Source organism: Homo sapiens, chromosome 3 (genome assembly GCF_000001405.40).
Source record: "Homo sapiens chromosome 3, GRCh38.p14 Primary Assembly".
NCBI lineage: Eukaryota > Metazoa > Chordata > Mammalia > Primates > Hominidae > Homo > Homo sapiens.
The window spans coordinates 100,802,781-100,826,294 of record NC_000003.12 but is presented as its reverse complement, the minus strand read 5'-3'; the positions used below and the strand labels follow the sequence as shown (position 1 = coordinate 100,826,294).

At 35.9% G+C, this 23,514-nt stretch overlaps 1 protein-coding gene across 57 annotated transcripts in view, besides 2 other annotated features; it reads left to right on the top strand.

Annotated features, from left to right (window-relative positions):
- The window catches only part of ABI3BP (ABI family member 3 binding protein), a 244,266-nt gene that overhangs the window by 167,127 nt on the left and 53,625 nt on the right, over nucleotides 1-23,514 (top strand). For 37 of the 57 annotated variants that reach the window (XM_006713572.4, XM_047447926.1, XM_047447922.1 and 34 more), the window contains 17 exons: nucleotides 451-510; nucleotides 1,354-1,437; nucleotides 2,781-2,837; nucleotides 3,623-3,706; nucleotides 5,182-5,241; nucleotides 5,992-6,075; nucleotides 7,714-7,770; nucleotides 8,800-8,859; nucleotides 9,527-9,607; nucleotides 10,324-10,383; nucleotides 12,560-12,634; nucleotides 13,772-13,828; nucleotides 14,496-14,567; nucleotides 15,018-15,065; nucleotides 15,818-15,883; nucleotides 18,060-18,134; nucleotides 21,429-21,503. In XM_006713572.4, coding sequence (XP_006713635.1) covers nucleotides 451-510; nucleotides 1,354-1,437; nucleotides 2,781-2,837; nucleotides 3,623-3,706; nucleotides 5,182-5,241; nucleotides 5,992-6,075; nucleotides 7,714-7,770; nucleotides 8,800-8,859; nucleotides 9,527-9,607; nucleotides 10,324-10,383; nucleotides 12,560-12,634; nucleotides 13,772-13,828; nucleotides 14,496-14,567; nucleotides 15,018-15,065; nucleotides 15,818-15,883; nucleotides 18,060-18,134; nucleotides 21,429-21,503 — 1,155 coding nt within the window. Of the gene's footprint in view, nucleotides 1-450; nucleotides 511-1,353; nucleotides 1,438-2,780; nucleotides 2,838-3,622; nucleotides 3,707-5,181; nucleotides 5,242-5,991; nucleotides 6,076-7,713; nucleotides 7,771-8,799; nucleotides 8,860-9,526; nucleotides 10,285-10,323; nucleotides 10,384-12,559; nucleotides 12,635-13,771; nucleotides 13,829-14,495; nucleotides 14,568-15,017; nucleotides 15,066-15,817; nucleotides 15,884-18,059; nucleotides 18,135-21,428; nucleotides 21,504-23,514 lie in introns of those variants that run through there. The other 20 variants (NM_001377332.1, XM_024453445.2, XM_047447925.1 and 17 more) reach the window with 8 other exon arrangements.
- Nucleotides 12,545-12,714: an enhancer, noted in NCBI's record as "experimental_63902 CRE fragment used in MPRA reporter constructs". NCBI's record gives its function as "activates a minimal promoter by MPRAs in K562 erythroleukemia cells, with activity observed for both the introgressed and non-introgressed 3:100532510 or rs73135513 variant alleles {active_cell/tissue: K562}" and the evidence as "EXISTENCE:reporter gene assay evidence [ECO:0000049][PMID:34662402]".
- Nucleotide 12,629: a transcriptional cis regulatory region, noted in NCBI's record as "Neanderthal adaptively introgressed variant 3:100532510 (GRCh37/hg19 assembly coordinates) or rs73135513 in the experimental_63902 CRE". NCBI's record gives its function as "modulates activity of the experimental_63902 enhancer by MPRAs in K562 erythroleukemia cells {active_cell/tissue: K562}" and the evidence as "EXISTENCE:reporter gene assay evidence [ECO:0000049][PMID:34662402]".

Genomic DNA, 23,514 nt, shown 5'->3' with positions numbered 1-23,514 from the left:
TTAAATAACAGAAGTCTATTTCTCACAACTCTGGAGGCTGGAAGTCCAAGATCAATGTGTCTGCAAGTGTGGTTTCTCTTGAGGCCTCTCTCCTTGTCTTGCAGATGGCCACCTTCTCACTGTATCCTCACATGGCCTTTCCTCTGTGTGTGCAGCTCATGTCTCTCTTTCATATGAGTCCATCAGTCCTGTTGAAGTAGAGTTCTACCTTTATGACCTCATTTAACCTTAATTATCTCTTTAAAGGTCTCACTATGAGGATTAGGGCTTTGACATATGAATTTGATATGTTGGGGGTGAGGGGTGGAAATATAATTCAGTCCTAATGCCCTTCCCAGAAATGTTTAATTATCCTAGAGGCAGTGTTACACAAGCAAGATACGTTTTGATGTGAATACTATAGCTCCCACACATTTTTTACCATCTCTTTTGTTTATCTTATTACTTCAGTTCCTGTTACAGACCTCGAGCCTGTTACTTTTAGAACTGAGATCCCTGCAACAACCTTAGGTAACGACCCTACAATTACCTGGCTGTTTGCCAAGTGCTTTTGCTGCTTGTTGTACAGTCCATTCAGTCTTCATCCCTATAACATGGCATGTCTTCCTCTACAAAATAGCAAACATCACTGCCTGTGACCATTCAACTATTTCTATCATCTGAAGAATACTGAAGCCTCCTAAAAACAAGTTTCCTGCTGTTTTTATGAGAGCCAGGCATGAGCTTAACTCAAAATATTTACCTGCCATGTGGCACATTTGAAATTATCATGTCATCCTGTGCTTCATTTGCCGAGTTCTATATTAACATTGAGTTTAAAACAAATTGGGATCTATTTCTTATCTAAGCTGATTGGCAATAACGGCTATTCTTACTTTCCTTTGCACATCTGAGTTTCTAGATTTAAAAAAAAAAAAATGCCCAGTATGTTTCTTTCTTTATTAGTGCTTTAAGTAATGTTGTCTTATTACTAGTTTGACAACTAGGGAATTACTGAAGTCTGAAATCTTAAGTTATAAGCCTCTTCCTTAATGTGACTCTAACTTCCTATCCCTTCTCATTGAGTACTCTGCCCCAATCATTTTTTTCCCCCAGCAAGGAAGTTCTATAAGTTTCTCAATACAAGTGCTAATCTTCACTCCTTGAGTGAGCAACTCGACTGTATACATGAATTTGCCTGAAAAGTACCATCAATGATAAAATGACGCATCGTTATAAAAGGAATGAAAAAGTAAAACTAAAAACAACTAAAGTTTCTGGAACTATAGGAGATCTGACAAGCTTTGGAAAAACCTTTCCTCAGTATCCAGAATCATAAGACCTAGAGTAACACAAGGCTTTTTCTTCCTTCAGCTACCAAAACATCAAAAAGAACCCGCCCTCCACGTCCCAGACCTAAAACTACACCGAGCCCTCAGGCACCTGAGACCAAACCTGGTAAATCTGTGATTCCTTGGTTTAAGGGTGATCCCTGGCAGCCTGTCGCAGTGGGGACTGAAGCAGTGTCAATGCTGAGCAGCAACAGGTCTTATTCTCCCTAAGCACGAGGGCATAAGGCATCATCAGTACCATCTCCTCTGCTCAGCTTTCAAGGAGAATAATGTGTGGGTGAGACCCAACTGATGCCAGCATATCTTATTATTTCTATGTGAGACTTTTCTTTGAAACCACATAGTTAGTATATTTCTTACTGTCAAATTCCATTCACATCTTAAAGGTAGAACTTCTTTAGCAGAGCCAACATATTCAGTTCAAGAAAACATAATCGTAAGTGCCTTGCATATTCCCGTTCCCATGCTGGCAACCATGGGTGATATGTCAGCTTTAGGAGAGTTATTTTACTGCAGAAAGCGTGGAGTTGAAGATATGTTTGCCTGACACAAATATAAAGCAATGATCTTTGTGTTTTATCTCAAAAGATAAGATCGAGGTGGGCTGGACTTGGACCTTGGGCCCACTGAGGATTTGGATGAATGGAGGGAAGAATGAACTAGGGCAGAAGGACCACATGTGTTGGGTCAGCTAGAAAGGCAGTCCAGTCTAGATGGACTCCTTCTAGATGGTCATATACGACTGTTGATGATGGTGCATTTGGAAGGGTACATCAAGCCAGATGAAGAAGGATTTTGAGGACCTGATTCAGAAGCTTAGATTTGATACAGAGACATCAAAAGTCTTTGATTTCCACTTATTCTGGGCTGAGGGCAGACAGATGCTCTACCGATTATTACAGGCTGAGTGACCACCCTGTTCTCTTAGGTGTCATGGTTTGGACAGAGGTCTCAAACTCTGTGTATAGATGAGTTCTTGGCAAGATGAACATAGTCCACTTCAATGATTACTTTTTTATGTCGGTATCAAACATATGAACTGTCTCTTGTATCCATGTTTACTTATATGTAATAAGCGCTAATATTCAGAAGTACAGAGTAATTGTATCTTTTAAGACAATTTCTAAGTATATGTGAGATAAATGCATTAAAATGTTTTCCAGTGCAGTTTTCCATATCAGAATTCATTAGTTAAAAACATAATAGAATTTCATGTTGACTTCTTTAACATACTCAAGATAGTTCAACAGCTAAGCCTGAGACTCACCATGCCTATAGTTTGGCCAAATCATCAATGAACAAACACACATTCTTTCCTTCAGTTAAGAAGTTAATTTTTTTTTTGTTTCTCTGGAAGAATTGACATACCAGTAAAATTTGTTTGCATGTGAGTGTTCTAACTTCTCATATGTTTAAAAATCTCTTTGATTTACATGTTGTTTTGGTCAGTTCCTGCTACAGTCCTAGAACCTGTCACTCTTAGACCTGAGGCCTCAACAACATTAGGTAACGTTGATACAGTGTTTTCGACAAGCTTCTTTTGCTTATTGTCAAACCTAGAGTTTCAATTTGTTTCTTGAGACAACAGTGTCATTCTTGATGGCCATTCAACTCTTCTTGAAATTATAAGACTCTTAACTGTTGTTTTTAAGAGAAGCAGTCATGCATGAATCTACTTGAGGACGTTTATATGCCATATAATCTGCTTGAAATTGTCATGTTATTCTGTGTTTTGTTTAAACAGTGTTTGTGATAAAGCTATGTTTCAAACATATTAGTGGGTTTCTAACTCCTTCCTGGACAGATAAGGCTATTAACTCTCATAAAGCCAGAGAACCCATTGTACATCTGAATTTTTACCCTTTTTTCTATTTGCATAGATATTTATTGTTTTGTCTCTAATAAGGTCATAATATGTTCAGATTTTAAGAGCTCTATAGAATATGTGCCAAAAATTGAAAGAGTAAGTTGTAAATCTCAGATTTAGTGGAACTGTCCTTCATTATCCATTAAAATTTGGCAATAGTACTTAACCTTTTTGGTACCCAGTAAAGCTACCCTATGAGATTTTCATTAAAATTTCTAATCTTTATTTCTCAAATTAAAAAGTGATTTTTGTCTTAAGGAGCTTTCTATGATAAAAGATCTATAAGGAGGAATGCATGTGACAAAAATCTCGAACTAAAAGGCAAATATCTATCAAGCAGTAGAGTCATGTTTTTTTACCTCACACAGCTTCCAGAATCATAGATAATGCAGTTATGTTGTAACCCAAGAACTTCTTCCTTCAGCTTCCAAAACATCACAACGGACACGTCGTCCACGTCTCAGAACAAAAACCACACCACGTCCTGAAGCACCTGAATCCAAACCAGGTAAACTATGTGTTCCTGGTTTAAAGAGTCCCTGCAGCCTAAGCCAGTAGGGTCTCAAGAGTAATCCCAGTGGTTGGGAGTAACCAATAGGCCCCTGTGAGAGGGAAGCTACAACTCATGGTTAGCAGCAGATCCCACTGTGAAGATGTAAGAGAAACACTGTTAGGAGATCTGTGGAGCAACTGTGAATGCCTCATGCTTCCTTTGTGCAGTCTTTTCTGGCACTGTGCATTTTATTAACTTCCATTTATCTCTTAAAAATAAAACTTCTTTAGAAAAATTAGACATATTCAGCTCAAGTCAACAAACATTAAGTGCCTTAGATATCCTCCCAATCATATTAGCACATTTGGGGTATACATCAGATGTCAGAGATGCATTTTGATCCTCAAACCTGTAAGACAGTTGAGAACAGAAGCCTTTCCTTTGTAAATAAAGTAAAAGATGGTATGGGGCAGTATCTGTGCAAATACAAGACTGGTTTTGGAGTGCTATCAACAAGATGTGCTTGGTGTGTAAATATTTGGATCAGGGAAATATAGATTAAGGAGAAATAGAGCCTTGAAATCACCAAGGCACAGGGATGAGTAGAAGGGTGGGAAGAATAAAATCAAAAGGAAAAGACACAAGTAGAGACCAACCAGAGGAGACAGTCTAACTGGACAACTGATATAAAGATGTCTTACTTTGCTGGGCGCAGTGGCTCACACCTGTAATCCTAGCACTTTGGGAGGCAGAGGCGGGTGGATCATGAGGTCAGGAGTTCAAGACCAGCCTGGCCAAGATGGTGAAACCCTGTCTCTACTAAAAATACAAAAATTAGCTGGGCATGGTGGTGGGTGCCTGTAATCCCAGCTACTCAGGAGGCTGGGGCAGAGAATTGCTTGAACCCCAGGAGGTGGAGGTTGCAGTGAGCCGAGATCGCGCCACTGCACTCCAGCCTTGGTGACAGAGCAAGACTCCATCTCAAAAAAAAAAAAAAAAAAAAAAAGTCTTACTTCAAGATGACAGGCAAATCCCTTCTGAATCTCACTAGGACCATGGATACCCATGGCGGAGATGCCTAGGTCCTTGATGGAGCAGTTGAGATTTGATCTGGTAGACATCAGCAAGCTGTTCTTTCCACATGAAGGCATGTTCTTTCTTTGCTCAGAATGGAGGAATATCCTACTCAATTCATCATGCTAAGGCCTCCGTCTCTTTCCAAAGATGAGTTCTTAGCAATACCTACATAGTCCATTTTGTATTATTAATTAGATAACCAGAGAATGAGGAATAAGGAAATAGGTACCTGAGTTAGGTATAGTCAAATTTTAGGAAATCAACTGTCTACTTTTTTAGTTTTAACAGTTTTTAAAGGTTGCTATATAATTCTATAAGCTGTATTATACTAGTAAGACTCATTTTTGAAGAAAAGTTTTGAGTTTACATTCATTTAAAATAATCATTTGGTTAATTTTAATGCTTTTGATCAGTTCCTACTGCGGAGCTCAAACCTGTTACACTCAGAACTGAGACTTGGGTGACAACACAAGGTAATAGCACGTTGCAATCCTCATTAAGTGTTCTTCCTTCTCATCGTCAAACCCATTCCATCATCATAGCCGCAGATTCTTATGCTTTTCAAGACTACATCATCATTCTCTGTTTCATTCCATCATATTCTTCATCCTAAAAGTATTGAAAATTCTGACTCTTAAATCACCCTTTGTTTTTAAAAGAGCCATGCATGAACCTAACTCAGTCTATGTTTTGGCTATGTAACCATCTGAAATTATTTTGTCATCCAGTGTGTTTTTTAACCAATTTTTTTGTTAAAGGTGACTTTAAAATGCAGTTTTCTTGATTCTAACATGATTGTGATACCAGAGAGTTTCTTTATGAATCTAAAGTTCTATTTACTCATTTATTTTTGCTATCTATGTGATATTCTCTGATTGACATTTTCATTAATTATGTGGTCTTATTTTACTAATTGTCAAAGAACTTATAACTGACCACCACCACTATATTTTAGCAGTGACTCTTGACCTTTTTATTTGGTGAGTCCTATTGACTATTCTTCACTTCTTAATTTAGCAATTTCATTTTAGAATGTGACACTTCCTCCCAATCAACTTTCTTCAATTGTAATAGTGAATGTTTCTAATTAAAAAGTTAAAAAGACAAATTTCCTGAAATATGAGAAAATCTAGTAAGTTTTAAGAGATCTCAAACCGTATGTCATGCTACTCATAGCTTCGGAGCTACGGACTCTGTAGTAACTAAAGGTTTTCTTTCTTCAGCTCCTAAAACATCACAACGAACTCGTCGTCCACGTCCCAAAACTAAAACCACACCAAGTCCTGAGGTTCCTCAAACCAAACTGGGTAAATTTGGGTTTCTGGTTAAAGTAGCTCATCCTAGCTGCTCTCAGGAATTTATAACTGATGCCAATGATGGGAGTGATGGCCTGTGTGAGTACCATGTGGATGAAGGCACAAAAGATGTGCTACTGCTCCCCCTGTTGAGTTAGCAAAGGAGAACACAGTTGGGATAGATCTTTGTGGCAGGTGAATTCCTTGCATTTTCTGCATATAGGTCTGTCTCTTACTGTGTATCTTATTTACTAATTCTTTCTTTTTTTTTTTTTTTTTTTTTTGAGACGGAGTCTTACTCTGTTGCCCCGGCTGGAGTGCAGTGGCACGATCTCAGCTCACTGCAACCTCCACCTCCCGGTTCAAGCAATTCTCCTGCCTCAGCCTCCTGAGTAGCTGGGATTGCAGGCGCGTGCCACCACACCCAGCTAATTTTTGTATTTTCAGTAGAGACGGGTTTCACCATGTTAGTCAGACTGGTCTCAAACTCCTGACCTTGTTATCTGCTTGCCTCAGCCTCCCAAAGTGCTGGGATTACAGGTGTAAGCCACCACGCCCGGCCTCTTATTTACTACTTTTTATTTCATTCAATTGTCCTCATAAATACAAAAATGCATTAAATAGAACCAGGCATTTTTATTTCTAGAAAAAAAATTAAGTGCCTTCTATCTTCCCACAGCCACATCAACAACTGTGAGGCTATCACAGGAGGAGGAAGCTTGTTTTTCACATCTTACTCTGTAGTATAGTCAAGATCAAAACCTGTCCCAGTATGAAACATTCAAAGATTGAAGCAAGGGAGTGTATCTGGGTAAATTGAACTTGTTTTGAGGGGTGCTATACACATCTAAAAGCTTAGAAAAAGAAAATGTTATGAAGAATAAGAATAAATAATTGGAAAGAAGTTGGGTCTTAAAATCTTAAAGATGAAGAGAGTCAGACAGGAAGAGTAGAGGCAAGTCAGAGGGCACATGCTTCCTGAAACACACAGGATTCGGCTTCTAAGTAGTGATGACAGCTGAATTTGGAAGGGTTTATAAGAGCAGTTGAAGAAAGTCCTTGAAGATATGACTCGGAAGTTTGCATCTGACCCAAGAAGCATCACCCATCTAGGGTCCTGCACTTTTATGATTAGAGAGTAGAGAGCTACTCTGCATGTTTGTCCCTTATCCTGATTTGCTGAGTGCCTTTACTGCAAATGAAATCTCAGCCTATGATTCACTTTGCTTTATTCTTTGCTATGTCTTCTCTCAAACAGGCTGTTGACTGTATTCGTGCTCATTTAGACACACTGTTAAAGCTTCCACAAACATGCCAACAGTTACTAGGACAGTTAAATAAGTATATATTTGGCAAAATGTCTGAATAAGCTTCTAGGGCAGTCTTCTACAATAGTTGGAACTAAGTACTCAGACACCTAGGAGAATATTACATGGGCTTTATTGAGATGTGTGCCAAATTGTGTAGGCTGTGACTAAGTGCCTTTTAAAAAAATTGTTTATCTGGCTATAAGATGGCCAAGTCTTCAAATAACAAGTATCAAGTTTCAGAAAATTTCTTAAAATTGCTATATACTGATTGAAGCAGTATTATAATGGAAAGATATAATTTACTGGCTTTTCACAAGTTTATTTCATTGCTTTTAATTAGTTCCTTCTACAGATCTTGAACCTGGTACTCTCAGAACTGAAGCTCCAAAAACCATGGGTAATGAGAATGTGTGTCCTTCAAATAGTGCTTTTCCTGCTTATTGTCATACCACTGTAGTCAGTTTCTTCTTCATCATAAGACCATCCTGTCATTCTTTGTCATCATTCCATTATAGTCTTTATCTTGAAATTATGCTAGGCTCTGTGTCACATTATCAGCTGAATTTGAGAGAACTGTGCATGAACTAATATCAGGACATCAAACTGCTTTTAACCGTTCAATGTGTCATGCGATCATGTGCATTCGTTTAAAGAGCATTGACCATTTTAAGCTGCATTTCAAGCACGAATCTCTATCCCTTATTTATGCTGCTTATTCCTCATCAATTGTAGGGAAGCACAGTGTTTCTTTGCTCATATTATTTTTCATTTTATTAGGATCTGTGTAACATTGATTTTTTTGTTTCAAGGAATGATGTTTTTAGTAAATTGTCAAATTGTAAAATGTACGTAAGTCTTGAAAGTTTTAATGAGAGGCTTCCATAATAGGATAGACTGACTCTTTATTCATCTCTATTAAGATTTAACAGTTTCTTAACTTTTACTGAATCAAGGAATACTTTGAGATTTTGATAAGCACAGTTTATTAATTACATGGTGTTCTTTATGCTTTCATACATATGAACTCTTTATTGTATCCATAGTTACTTAGACAGTAGTTAACAAGATATTTATCCCAACTTCTATAGAAGTGCAAGTAGACTGATAAACGCCTTTTTCAATACAGTTAGAAAAGCATATATTATGCAAATGTGTAAAAAGCTTGTCCAACAATCTTCCACTAATGTGTAGCAAGAATCAGATAATCAAACATCTAGGAGAATGTTTTGTTGACCACATAGTGATATTAAGCTGAGTGCAATGCTGTCTTGCAAATCTGTCTTATGAGACTAATGGGTACCTGACCATGGTTTGGCCAAATCTGCAAAAAACAAGCCTTACTTTTAAGTTCTGAAGCTTAAAAATTGAACTGTGAAATTAATATTCAAGTTAAATCTTTTTGCTTTATTTTATTATTTTTGTCTAGTTGTTACTACAGTCCTTGAACCTGACACTTTTAGAACCAAGTTTCCAGAAACAACGTTAGGTAATGATATTCTGTGTTCCTGAATAACTTTTTCCTCCTTATTTTCAAATCCATTCCATCATTATCATAATCACATTGTCATCAGCTTTGTAGGACTATCTTGTCATCTTCTGCTATCCTTCAACTTTATATTGTCCTTCAACTTTATATTTGAGTATTAGTGATCCTTAGAAGTTACCTATTATTTTCAAAAGCTATGCATGGACCTAGTTCAGAGTCTACCATGTAATCTTATTTGAATTTGTGTCATGTACTTTTGTCTAAACAGCATTCATGTCACTCATGTCTGAAGCTAAATTTCAAACACAGTTGCTGGTGGCTATATCATATCTAAACTGACTAAACTCTAACAGTTCTTATGGTATCATGGATTCTTTGGCATACTCAAAAGATTTAGTGTGAGCCTGAGACTCTATCATCCAGAGTTTGGCTCTAGTGTTTCTGAAGTTAAAGATGTATGAGTCTCTTCACTTTTCAACTTGATTTTATATGTAAGTTTTCTCTCTCAAGAATCTTCAGTGATTAAGAAAATTAACAAAATAGAAAATATTTTAATCTTAAAAGACATATGACTTAAATCTCAAGGAAATATGACATACCTTTAAAAACCTAAAGTTTTGTCTCCAAAGCCACCTGCACTAGAGTAATCCAAAGTTTCTTCCTTCAGCTCCTAAAACACAACGGACACGTCGTCCCCGTCCCAGACCCAAAACTACATCAAGTCCTGAAGTACCTCAGAACAAATCGGGTAAATGTATGAATCCTTGGCTTAAGTAGCCAAGGAACCTGAACCCTGGCAGGCTGTCCCAATAAAGTCCTAAAGAAATGCCTATGACGGGAAGTAACAGTCATCATGTTTTCTAAGAATCAAATTATTTAACATGGGTAGCAACTGCTTCTCGTACAGAGCTATCCAGGAGAACATGGCTTGGAGCCACTTGTGTGCCTGATCTCCTAAATGACTTGGTTTGGATGACGTTCTTGGTCCCTCTTTAAAGATGTGTTTACAGCGAGATTAGCATACTCATGGGTATTTATTGCTATATCTGCATTGAAACATGTGATCCATTTGTTATGATTACATAAACAGGCATTTATTTTCAACTTCCAAGAAAAGCAACAAGTTACTTTCATATATATTTCTCTCTGTATTTTCGTATCTGTTGCCTAAACAAATTTCCAAAGCCAAATATCCATACTAGTTAGAAAACCAAATACCTAGGAAAACCTCATGTGGATAATATCAAGATATGTAACAGAGTTCAAAGGTTGTAACTACCTTCTTTGATGAATTGTTCTAGCTAGTGTGGCCAAATCTTCCAAAAGCAACTATATGCTGCCTATCAATTCAAAAGTTTTAAAAAATTGTGTATCATTTGAAACTCATGTTTTAAAATAAAAATTGAGGATTTTTTTTAAAAAGTCTTTAAGCTTTCTTGTATTCATGTTGTTGCTTTTGGTTAGTTTCTGTTACAGGCTTTGAACCTGTTGTTCATAGTACTGATGCTCCAGGAACAACATTTGGTAATGATTTTTGTGACTTGCATTAAATGCTTTTTATTGCCATTTAAAAACGCACTTGAGCACTGTCATGACCAGAGTTGCTTCTGCTTCCTAAGACGCTGTTATTCCATTCTACACTTCATTTTAAAATAGTCAGCAGTTTTAATTCAAGTGTTACCTGTTGTTTTTCGCAGATGTCCCTGGACCCAGTGAAGGACAGCTGTCCAGCATGAAACTCTCTTTAAATTTGCACCATATGATTCAGTGTTAAATCTGAGGTCCAAATTGGTATTTAGTATTTATAGATCTAAATACCCTTCCATTTGGTATTTAGATCTATAAAGCAACAATTAAGTACCATGAACTCCCTTTGAGTAACTTAGTTTCTATAAAACCTGTGTCTTAGTCTCATTATTTTCTTCCTATTTTAAGGAATAAGGTGTCCCTATTACATTAAAATAGATTTCCCTGAAAGTTCCAGGCTCCTCAATCATTGATAAGCTTGACCACTGTTCTTCACTACTGTTTAGTAATGGCTCTTAATCTTCGCTAAGTAGGAATCCCTCTGAATATCTATGCATGTTCAATATTTATTCCTTTAATCACTTCATATGTGATTTTGGTCTCTAAAGGAACCCTTAGTGATGATCAGAAACAAAGTAATTTTTTTTAATTTAGGAAATAAACTCAAGAAAATCTAACATGTTTTAGAAAACATAAGTCTACATACAATGCTTTCAATGATTTCTAGACCTACAAACACTATAGCAACCTAAGATCATCATCTTTTAGTTTCAAAGACATAAAGGAGGATGAATAGGGGTTATTCCATCCCTCAGACCTTAAACTCCCTAAACCCTCTCAGTTGAAATAACGAAAATCTATGGCTTAGGTTTTAGAAGGTTTAAGGAGTCTTAGCCCATTGCACTTGAATCACAGGTATGACAATAAGCTTGAATATCATTTCTGTGCCTTCTGAGAGAAAAGGCACTTACAGTGGTCAACAGCTTGACAATTACAGGGCTCATTATTAGATTCATAGCTGAGGGAGATCTATCCAGTGGCTAAATTCATCGTGTGCCCTACATAAGGACTGTATCTAACAAAGGATCGATCTTATACAGTTCTTATTCCATTTCATTCATCTCTTTCTCAATGGTGCTGCTACTTTTGCTTAAGAAGACAATCATTTCCTCATTCTTTGTGTACCCAACACCATATTAACAGTTGAGTGGGGTGGAATAAGGAACAGAGGTAGAAACCAAAAGAAAGGACACATTTTACCTCTTAAAGTACAAAGTAATCATGAAGAAACCCTAAGGTTTTCTTAGATACAGTTTTCTAGATATAGAGCAATTTCCTCCTATGAGAGTTCTTGTTTAATTGAGTAGTAAAAACAAAATATTTACAGGAGTCAAGGAACGATGTGGGCTGATGACAGAGAGTAGTTGGACTTTGAAATAATTATAGGATTTGGATTAGAGGGTGGAAGGGTGGGAACAGCACAAATAAAACAAGTATCAATACTTGTCAATGGTGGCTAAGGGGATGGTGAAACTAAAATATAGAACAAAACACTCCTAGATGATATTCAACATTTTGTTAATATTACTGTCATGAAATCAGCTATAGGCAGCTCTTAGCTCTTGTAGGAACTGAGATTCAGATACAATAGTCCATGAGAACTTAATTTTCCAAATAGGCTCCTGCTTTTTCAGAAGGACATTTTGAATCAGGAGTCAGCAATTTTTTTTTTTCTGTGAAAAGTTAAGCAATAACTATTTTAGAATTTGTGGGCTGTTCAGTTTCTGTTATAGCTACTCAATTCTGCTGTTTTAGCTTGAAGGCAACCAAAGCTGATTCATGAATATGCCCTGAACAATTTTAGTTCATTCTATGGCTATGTTCCAATAAAACTTTATTTGAATTTCATGCCATTTTCACGTGTCATGAAATACCACTTTTCATTTTTTCCCATCGCTTAAAAAAAATGTGAGAATCATTATTGGCCCACTGGCTAGACTTGGAAGGGCTATAGTTTGCTGACCTCTGCTTTAAATAGGGCACATTCTGTATGGCTCTCCATAACCTCATGATTTTCAGGGTCTGTGTATTTTATTTCACTGCTACCTCTGTCTAAAACCTATGAAATAAATAACTGAAAATTACTCTTACAATTGAGACCCTCTTCTTTCAGCTCTGACTGAACTGCAAACTCTTATTTTGAAACCAGTGACATCACCAAGCCTAGAAATGACAGAAAGTCAACCTGGTAAATAGATTGTTTTATCTGTCTGGGTATACTGTGTGCTTTAAGAGGCATACTGTAATTCTCTAAGTTATATTTCCAAAGATAAAAAATGAAAAAGGAATATACATTAATAACTGTAAATATTGCACAATGCTCTTTTTTGTGATTCCATATTGTTAAATTAGTAATACATTAATATTACTATTTGAATGTATAAAAATACTTTTCAATGCATTTGTATCATTCTAGAAAATAACCACATATCTGATTAAGTGGTTGACAAACCACTTAGAAGAACTGATTTTATTATTTATCCTTATTTTTTCAACAGTTACAAGTTTGTGGCTCTCTTTAATAGTAAATTAAATTTGTGCTAAAAGAACACTAGTTCAATTGTGACCATCAAGGAAGGAGAAATTTCTCACTTCAGTAAAAATAATAAAATTTCCACAAAAATAATGTGAACCCTTTAAAACATACTGCCCTTCAAGCTTGTAAATAGGCCAGGCATAGTGGCTCACACCTGTAATCCCAACACTTTGGTAGGCCAAGGCTGATGGGTTGCTTGAGCTCAGAATTTTATGACCAGCCTTGGCAACATGGCAAAACCCCAACTCTACAAAAGATACAAAAATTAGCTGGGCATAGTGGTGCATGCCTGTAGTCCCAGTTACTTAGGAGGCTCAGGTAGGAGGATCGCTTGAGCCCAGGAGGTCAAGACTGCAGTGAGCCATGTTCATGCCACCCTACTCCATCTGGTTGACAAAGCCAGACCCTGTCTGGGGAAAAAAAAATGGATGCAAATTTTAAAAGTCAGTATTAGTAATGTTGTTGCTACTTCCTGACATTTATTTTAAAACACTGGATCCTATATTTTTCTTCCGTAGGACTGTAATTTCTTTCCATCTCTTATGAGTATCTTTTAATTAGATAAATGACATTTTGGTACTCATGTTGAATGTACAAAGTAGGTTGTTAATGGTAACGTACAGTAGTTATCATGTTGTGAATTCAGTTCAGTTATGAGAGCTTCCCTTAGTGTTAATAATGTTGTTACCCTATAACAGTTAACATTGAACACTTACTGGATGCAAAGCACTTTTATAAATACTTACAACCTATCCTTTATCAATTGTACCATTTTCTGTTTTTTACTAGTTTCTGATGTTCTGGAATCGGTTACACTTAGTACTGAGTCACCAAAGGAGACCATAGGTAAAAATGTTCCCCAATGGGAAGTCAAGCATATGTGCTTTTCCATCTCATTGCAAAGTCATCTCTGGATGTCCTCATGCTTTGTGACATTTCATAGCCACTTGCTCCTCACAGCTTGTCTGTGCTCATCCAGTGGGTCTTGAATGTCATTGTATACAGCACATTGTGTTCACATCTGCTGTATTGCTATGCAAGTTTCATAATTTCCTTATTCTCACTCGAAACGAAAATTTTAACCTTTTCTGATTGCTCTTTCAATATGAATATGTACAACCTACTTTTCATTTTCATATCACTTTTAGGATTCATCCCGTGCTTTTGCTCTCCAAGTACTCATTCTATGTGTGTTTCTAACTGGAATTCTTATACGAAAAAAAAAATGAAAATGGAATTATCTGCTTTGTTCCAGGTAGAAGTGCTGTTGACTCTGCCACACATTATGTATGGGGTGTGCATGTTTCCCACATAGCACACTGCCTTCATTTCCTGCTTTCATTTCTGCCCTCCTAAATTGTGGTCATCTTCATAATCTACCTAAATGTTAATTATTCTCAAGAATATATCTGCTTAAGATAGCTCAATTCTATTTTTAAATTAAATGCAGGGTTCTATTACAGTGTGCTTTGGGTTGGCCACCACTAACCAGCCATTCCCGTTTCTTCCCTAGCACCAGCCAAAACAGACTATGTATATCCCACTGCCAAAGCACCACTCTGGCCAGAGGAGCCAAAGACTGAAGGTAGCAAAGGTTTTAATGCTTTGATTCATTTATTCCACACATTTTAAATTAACATCAGTTACATCCACGGAATATGAAAGTTCAAGCTGTGGTACTTGATTCACAATTAAACAGATTTGAAGGAGCTACAGCTTCCAACATTCTTGAATTCTTAAAGTGATAATTGACTCTCTCTGAATACAGAAATAAATTTGTCTTTCTCTGCTGAAGTCTAAAGGTTGAGGCGTAATAACATTTGAAACCCAGTTAATGACAATTAAAACATAAATATTAATTGGAGGATTAGTATTATAGAATAGGATTTTTCTCCCAATTCTTTTTTCCTGTCTAAATCCATTGTCCTGTCTGTAAAATTATGATGCAAATTATTAATAAAATTTGATATTCAAAAAAATGCTATAGCTTAATATCTTACAGTTTCTAAAATTTTTCTCCTTTGTTTTGGTACAGTTGTGGAATCTATTACATATGTATCTGAACCACCTGAGACCACACTAGGTAATAACCTCGGTAGCCCAACCCTGGGTGCTCTCTGTCTTCATTGCCACCATCGCCTGAGAACCTCTGGGTCTCTCTCATTGTGAATTCATGTTACACCGTCACTCTTCGCCATGGCAGTTACTTTTCTTTCAAGGTGCTCCTATCCATAACCATTGTCCAAAAATGTCCTTCCTCCCATTCAGTTGTGTAACAAGACTTTGCTTTTTTTCTCTTCATAAGTCAGCAGAACTGTTGAATCTAAAATATTTTCTTCCTAACACTGTACATCCTGCCAGCTTGGCATTGTGTTGAATGTTTCAGATAATGCTTTTTTGGTGCGATGATCCATTTATACTTTCTGACCTAGCAACATACTTTCCATTAACACTTATCCCATCACAGTTATTTATATTTGTGGTTTTCTTCTCCATTCTTTAAGTGAAATTCAGTGCTGCTTAAATGACTCATACTATAATATTTTTAAAATTCCTTTTTCCCTTCATGATTCCTATTGAATATATCTTTGTAGCATTGTTGAGGAGGTAGAGTTCTAATGTGAAATGAGAACTTTAGAAGTACTTTGTAAGCTGCATCTGCAACCATTTTTTTTTAACCAAATGCATTATGAAGGAGTAGGAATGCTGTTTTGCTGCAGACTTGCAATTTTCTTTATTTTAAAAAAATCTATTTGTTACCATCCTGTCTGTTATCTGTACTCAAGGTCTGTCAAGTGCTATAGTAACCCGCGTACTTTCCTTCAATTACCATAGAAACGTCGCCTCTGCCTTCTCAATCTATAACCCTACCCAGCCCAGATGAGCCTCAGACTGAACCTGGTAAATACATTATTTTGTATGTCATATATGAGGTGAGTGTTTGCAGAATGTCAGTATGGTCACCTCAAGATATCAGAGGCCCTGACTTCATCATTCTGCCCACAGACTTTGATGGGTAATCCTACCTGTCTGATGTCCTGCTATCATTGGTAATTACTCAAATGGCAGTGTTGTTCTTTAGGATATGGTTGAAAAATACCTCTCAGCTACTCTGCAAGTGTTTAATTCAGGGAATAGGAATGCTTCTGGGAAGAACATTTATATTCTGTTCTATTTTAAAATATATATATTCTGATTTTAATTCTAATTCATCTCAACTAGTTTTACAAGTTCTATGATCATGTAAAAAGTATATTAAGCTTTCTGATTTGCTTTTGACATTAAAAGAAACCTCCAGAAACAGGTTTGACTGTGCAATCCACATGAAAGGGGGTGTACTGGCCAGTCACCTTGTAGTTATTCAGATATCTTTCTTCTTTCCACTCCTTTCTGCAGTGCTTTGGCCATTTCACTGCATACAAATAAAAAAAATCAAAACAATTATTTTGGCTTATCACAAAGCTTTACATAGTAGTGGAGTTTGAAATGATTGAAAAATAATCAACATGAATAACTAAATATGCTTCTTGTTTTAAAAAGTCCTCTTAATAGCTGTAGGTTTCAATGTAATAGAAGGTTATAAATAAGCCCAAACTTCTGTTTTGATTGGCATTAAACTATTTTTATATGACTCTGTTTCCAAGGGAGATATGGATTTTAAGTTTACTCATTGTCTGCTGAATATCCTACTAGATGTTGCCTATAAACCCTACAGTTTTTTAACTAAAAGAAATCCACATTGACTAAAATAATGAAATCAGTCAGTTATACCTAACTTTTCCAAATTTTGTTCTTAATAACTATAATAATTAATATCATTGGAATGTCTCATTGCAAATACTGCTATTAGTGATTCTTATCTCATTGTGTATCATTTTTCATGGAATTGCTTTATGACATGCCTAACCTTCAGGTGGTCTTTCTTATCCTCTGGCAAAGTAAGTGGCATATCAGTTAGAACCTTAGTAAGTAGGGTAGTTGAGAATCAGAAAATCACGAACTGTGAGAAATGCTGGAATGACAGAATTTTAAGATTGGAAGGGTTCTTTAAAATTGTGTAACTTCTGATGAAGAAACTGAGACCTTAGACCCAGTGATTAGCAAAGGGAGCTCTAAATCCCCAGGTTCCAGGCTTCTAAACCAGGTCATCTCCAACATATATCAGTATTCATCTCTCTACAGGCAAGAAGATTCCACTGAAACCATTGTATACCTTGTATTTTTTCATTTAGTATCAGGAAGAAGATTCTGCAGACTCCTTCAGAAACTTCTGGTGTCAAATAACTCTTATTTTCAGCAAGTTTTTCTTAAGGTGTCTGAAACTACATGACGTTGACCATGTTTCTTCTTACCTTTCTTTATCCCAAACACGTTTTAGTTCAACCAAATGAGGTGTTTCCATAAGCTGCAACCTTGCATCTGATAATTCCTTTCCTTCAGCAGGATAGATTTTTCAATTTTTTTTGGTGAAGAAAAAATTGGTTTTTACACTGATTGTCCTAGAATTTCTTTCGGATTTGCTCAGCAAAGGAATAACTCTCCATAGAAAATATCCTTGGTGTTCAATTTCTCTTCCCTCTCTTCCCCTATATAACCAATAAAATTGTGTTTTGTTTAGTAAGATTAATTTTTCCATTAGCACTTGCTATTAAAATACATTATATATTTGGGCTATAACATGTTAACTTTGTTTTTTATTTAGAAAACATATGTGTCTGCATTTAAAATAGTACAACTAAATATTCTGATAAAATTATATGAACTTATAATAAGGATGAATTCTTGTAATTATGAATTTATTTTCAAACTATTTAGAAGGTATTTGATGTCAATATTTCTGCAATCCCAAGTTTCATTTTGCCAGCTGAACATCTTAGATATCATTTAATGTGACTTTTTGTTTTGTTTTCTGTTATATAAAAAAGTTACCTTCCTATACTTTGCAGATCTTTAGAAGCCTTCATTGTTGAGTATTTAGGTCTTCAATCACTCAGTAAACATCCCTGAGCTTCTAGAGGCTTAGGTACTGTCATTCTTGAAGGGCTCAAGATTTCCGAACCTATATCCTTTCTTTTAGCTCCCAAGCAGACACCACGTGCTCCTCCTAAGCCAAAAACATCACCACGCCCAAGAATCCCACAAACACAACCAGGTAAATATATATTTTACATTTTAGCTTGAAAAGTTTGAGGTTAGTGGGGTTATTCTAGCAAATTGTTCATTAATAGTTATGATAGCAGATTGAGTCTTTAACACTTGTAAAACAAGTCTTCCTCTGTAACCTAATAAATATTTAAATTTCTTTTTGGACTTACTAAAAAAGTACATCATTGGAAGAGCTTATTCCACAAAGCTTCCCTTAATGTTGTGTTATTGAAGATGAGATGGACATGAATGGCATTGCTTAAAAAGAATAGCCTGCCTACTTCGTTTTCCTTCCCCGGCCTGAGACTACACTCCTATCCCTTCCACTATTCCTGAATGTGCTTCCTTCTGCCAATCATCTAATTTGAAATTTTTCTCAATACATGGCCTGACTACAACAAATGTCTGAGGTTCACCCACCCAGGATACCGGCAAAGGAAGCTTCGCGACCACTAATCTAGTCTGGGGAAAGGAAAATGTTTAGCACCATCACATTATGTTTGATCCAGGTAGTGATTCTGGATTCCCACCACAAATATTTCACTCATACCTCAGAATCTCTGTCATTAGGTACTGTCATTCTTGTTTTGCTACAGGGGAAAAGAAAACCCCTGTAGTTTTAGGTGTGGTCTCTAATATCAATTGAGGGAAATTTTACCTATCATTAAATTTTTTCTATGATTTTAAATCTGCCTTATTTAGCATAATTTTAAATATGTTCTAATTACTAAAACTTAGCTATGAAAATAATTTATTCTGATAATAAATATATGAAGGTACCAAGGCAATATTCCCCCAAATAATATGAAATTTTAAATAATAATAATACATTTGAAACATTAACATACTAAAAGTCTGAGAAAATAATGATTAGTGAATAATAATGAATAGGAATAAAAACATCAAAGTTTTAAGAATATACCAAGTTATTAAATAAACCAAGTATATTAAATTTGTTATTATAATAGGAAACTAAAATCTAACGTTAAAAATAGCAGACAAAATTATATGAGAAGAAGCTCTCAGCTTTGGATTTGAGTATAAAGCATAGAACAAAAGTAGAAAACAAATGGGGAGAAGAAACCATGAAAACTTGAATGTTGAACTATAAAAGATGAAAAATACTAAAAATTAAGAGACTTGGGCATGAATCATGGTCAGTAAAAAATGTTTAAGGTAAAGGAGATATGAAGTAATAGGAAAAATTTATTTGCAGTTTTATCTTTTTGAGCTGTACTTTGTACTTACTAAAATGCGGTATAGTAAATCAGGAGCTTGCTCTAATTTTCCATTGTTATACTATAAGTTTCAAATTTATTTCATTTTGACTTAGACTTTTAGCCAACCTTTCTTGACAAGACAGGCTCTTCAGAATAGATAGATTCACATCCTCAGTGAGTTCCACTCTCTAACTCTGAAACCATGGAGTGGCTGCCAGACTGTAATGAGAGAGCCTTCTGATGTCCCGATTGAAGCAACTTCCAGTCCATCAGCATCTCTTGCGGAAAGTAGCTGCAAACCAGATACTTCTGGCTTTGTCAGTGCTACTTAATGTAAGGGAACAATTTGAAAACTGGTCATGAAAAACAAAATGCATTCTACTTATTCTTTTTAAAAGTGGGTAGAATTGGGACCTCCTCATCCCACAAGAATATGATTCTTACGTAATAGTTTCCAGCAATATCCTGGATTTTTATAGTCTTTCAAGGAGGTGTGTATATGTACACATATATATCACAAAATATTTTAAAGACAAATAGTTGAATCCTAATACTTCTTCCCTTATCCTTAACTAGTTCCTGCAAATTTCAAAAAGTCATTTGGACAGGAGAGTGTCCTGTTTATATGCATGATACCAATACAAACTATTGTTGTTGGGCTGTAATATCATCTAACAATAGTATTTACAACTTAAAGCGCAACAAATTTTGTTCATCCACCACCTTTCACAGAATAAGATTCTGTAATTTGGCATGTAACTTTTATTGTTAGTTTTACTGAAAGTGTGTTTATAAATTGGCAACGCTTAAATCTATGTTTGGCATTCAAAGGCAAAATGGGATCTAAAATCTGAAAGAAAGCATAAGGAATATTTTATAAGTCAATAAAGTTTGACTTCTTAGATCCCAGTGTGTATAGGTAATAGCAATATTATTAATTGTATACCTAGAATTTTTTATAACTCAAAATTATGGGTGCTCCTAGATTTCACATGGGCAAACAATGTGAAAATCAGAATATACTCAGATTCTTCAAAACCAAATTTGTGAAGCTCCTTGAGAAGTGGAAAAAAAATTTATAATAGTATAATTTTCACATCATTTTGACATTTCACATTGGATTCTTATAACCATATCTTGAGTTAGGGCAGGTTTATTGTTTCACCTTAAAAAATGAGAAGCAACTTAAAATCTGACCTGCAGAACTGGGATATAGAGATCCCAAGTGTTTAGACCTGTTGATAATGTTTGATCCTCAGCATTTGGTTCAAGTCCTGACTCTGGTACTTAATAACCATAACCTCAAGCAGATTATGTCACACACCCGAATCTCTGTTTCCTCAGCTTTAAAGAGGAGCTAGTAATTCCTTCCTCCCAACATTATGGTGAGACTCAAAGGGTGTAAACTTTATAAAGGCATTTTTGAAATCATAGAATACACTATAATTGTTAGACTTATTTTCCTGGTGTCTATTATATTAGTACCTTATTATTCCCAAGGAACAGTTGTGGAAATCTAATTTTAGTTGTCAGCAAATTCATTTGAAGGTTTCTCTGGAGCCAGAGAAATGCAGGGCGGGTAAGATGTGAACCAACACATTCCATTGCATTGTCCACTTACCACTCTGCTGTTGCCCAAGAGGACTTCAAGCATATCCATGTTCCATAGGATTCCACCCTGACCTCACCGTCTTTACCTACTTTGTCTTTAAGGAAAGACATAAAAATGGGTTTAAGGAGAAGTCAAGCAAACATATCCAGTAAAGAAAAGCTCTCTTACATTCATTCCATTGTCATCTCCTCTGAAATAAAGATTTCTAAAAAGTTGTCATCTTACTCTGACGCTTTGTAATTTGAAATTTTGCAGTTTCTCGGATTTCACTATTATATAATTATCTGGAATTCTAACTAACCTATTTCTAGAGCTTAAGGTTAGGTCTTCTTTCTAACTCCTTCTTCTGTCTTCTCTCTAATGCTTTGTTTTATCAGTGTTCAGGCTACACCTTGACATGTCTTATGTTTTAAGCATGACTGGAAGATGCTGAAACCAAATGACTTACAATATGAGTTCTCTCTTTCAGTTCCTAAGGTGCCCCAGCGTGTTACTGCAAAACCAAAAACGTCACCAAGTCCAGAAGTGTCATACACCACACCTGGTAAATGCTTTATTTCATGTTTAAGCCAAATGCATTCTACTGTCCCACTCTGCTTCAGTGAAACATGAGACTTGGTGGAAGTGAGGTCAATATTTCACTTATGTTTAAATCCCATGTTGTATCATATGTGGTATGATAATTTCAGAAGTTTCATAAGAGTGCCCACTGGTTCATCTAGTAAAGCTGTGATCACAGTCAAAAGGCAGAGAATTATGCCAAGGGTAGAATGTCTTTCCTAGAACTAAAGTTCTCTTATTCCCTGACTTACAAAAAATGCTGCCAATTCTACGCTATGCTCAAATATTTCACTAAACACAAAGATAAAGACTTTTGTTCTCCCCCACAAATGATAAATTAGTGTTTTTACAAATGGAGGCAATGATGTTTAGCCATTTACTTGGATACATAAATTGTACTATGTCCACATTGAGTTTTTTCCCTGTCACTATTCTATTTTACAAATTGATGGAGACATATCTTGGGTTAAGAAATTTCTTTCACACACACACAATGGTTTCTTTAGCTACAAATCTGTTTTTTGCCAATCATCTGAGAAGGCCTTTTGTTCACATATGGGGAAGGTAATCTCATGTTTGTGGAGTATCTTCATGGGTATTACCACCACTATTTACATGAAGTCTTCAAGTGGCCTTAGGAAGCCGCTGGTAACTGAACAACTTTCTCTAAAAAGCCAAGCTCATTTTTAACTAGAGAATCTGGGAAATACTGTGAGTTTTTTCTCTTTCCTTTTAAAGGTACAATTATTATAAATTCCTAACTGCTCCTAAAATCATATAGAACATTTCCAGAGCCAAAGAATTTCTAAGCTATAGTTTAAAATGATAGCATTTTGGAAGCAAGCCTGAATTCACTTCCTATAATGTTTTCCAGATTGTATAAGCAAAGGCTATTATTGCTGCTGTGGTATAGTCACTTTGGTGGTGGTGGTAGCAGGCTAGAGAGAATCTCCTTTGCCCTGAAGTCTAGAATGTAAATTTGTACCACCAAACACAATAGCCAATATTATAAACAGGAAGTAAGAAAAAAACCTCATCTCACTTGCAAAAGATCAGCTTATTTTCAATTGTGGAAATTAATTTGTTATAGATAACAGTAGATTTGAGTGACTTTATTTACTTTTCCTCTTCAGTATAAAAAATAATATTAGTATAATCTCATTACATCAATATATTGAATAGTTAAGTTTTTTCCTCTTTTAATATTTAATATTTGCCCTACTGGGCATGAGTTGGCCATTATTGAAGCCAGGTGGTGAGTACCTAAGAATTCATTCTACTATTTTTCTATTTTCATATACCTTTGGAATTTACTATCATAAAATTATTTTTAAGGTATATATTTTAAAATCTTCTCTGTTAGCTAGTCCTTCTCTTGAACCACATTCTTCAAAAGTTCTCCCACAGCTAAGTTATAAAGAGCGGACCACTTTTGGCAGAAAAAAAAAAAAAAAACTTGCCTTAATTCTACCAACACCTTGCTTTTCATACAAACTCTAACCCGTGATCTTGATCCCTGTAACAACACAAATAGTTAACAACTATCCCTATTTATTCTTTTTATCCAGAGTTTGAACGAGCAGAGTAAGAGAACTGCCTCCTGGAGAACTAGGGTCTCTCTTAGTGGTCTTCTGTCACCTCTCCAGCTCCACATGTTCAGAGTTAAGTTTCTGTCCCTAAATCTGGTGTTGGCCCTGCCATATGATCAGGGTTCTCCCTTGCCCCAGGGGTGTGGCACCCCCAGGAATAATCATAAGGCAACTCTTACCACATTTCAGTTTTCTCAGAAGTGTTCAAACACATTGGATTCTGATGTGTTCAAACAGTTCTAGATTTTATGTAGGCTCAAATTCACACCCTAATGAACCCAATACTTTGTTTACCAGGTCCTGTGGGTTATACTTCAAAAAACAGAGGGTAAATGACATGTGTAGTTTAATGTATATTAGTATCCTGGAGAAATAAACTCTTCTGTAAAAGTCTAAAAATGTAAA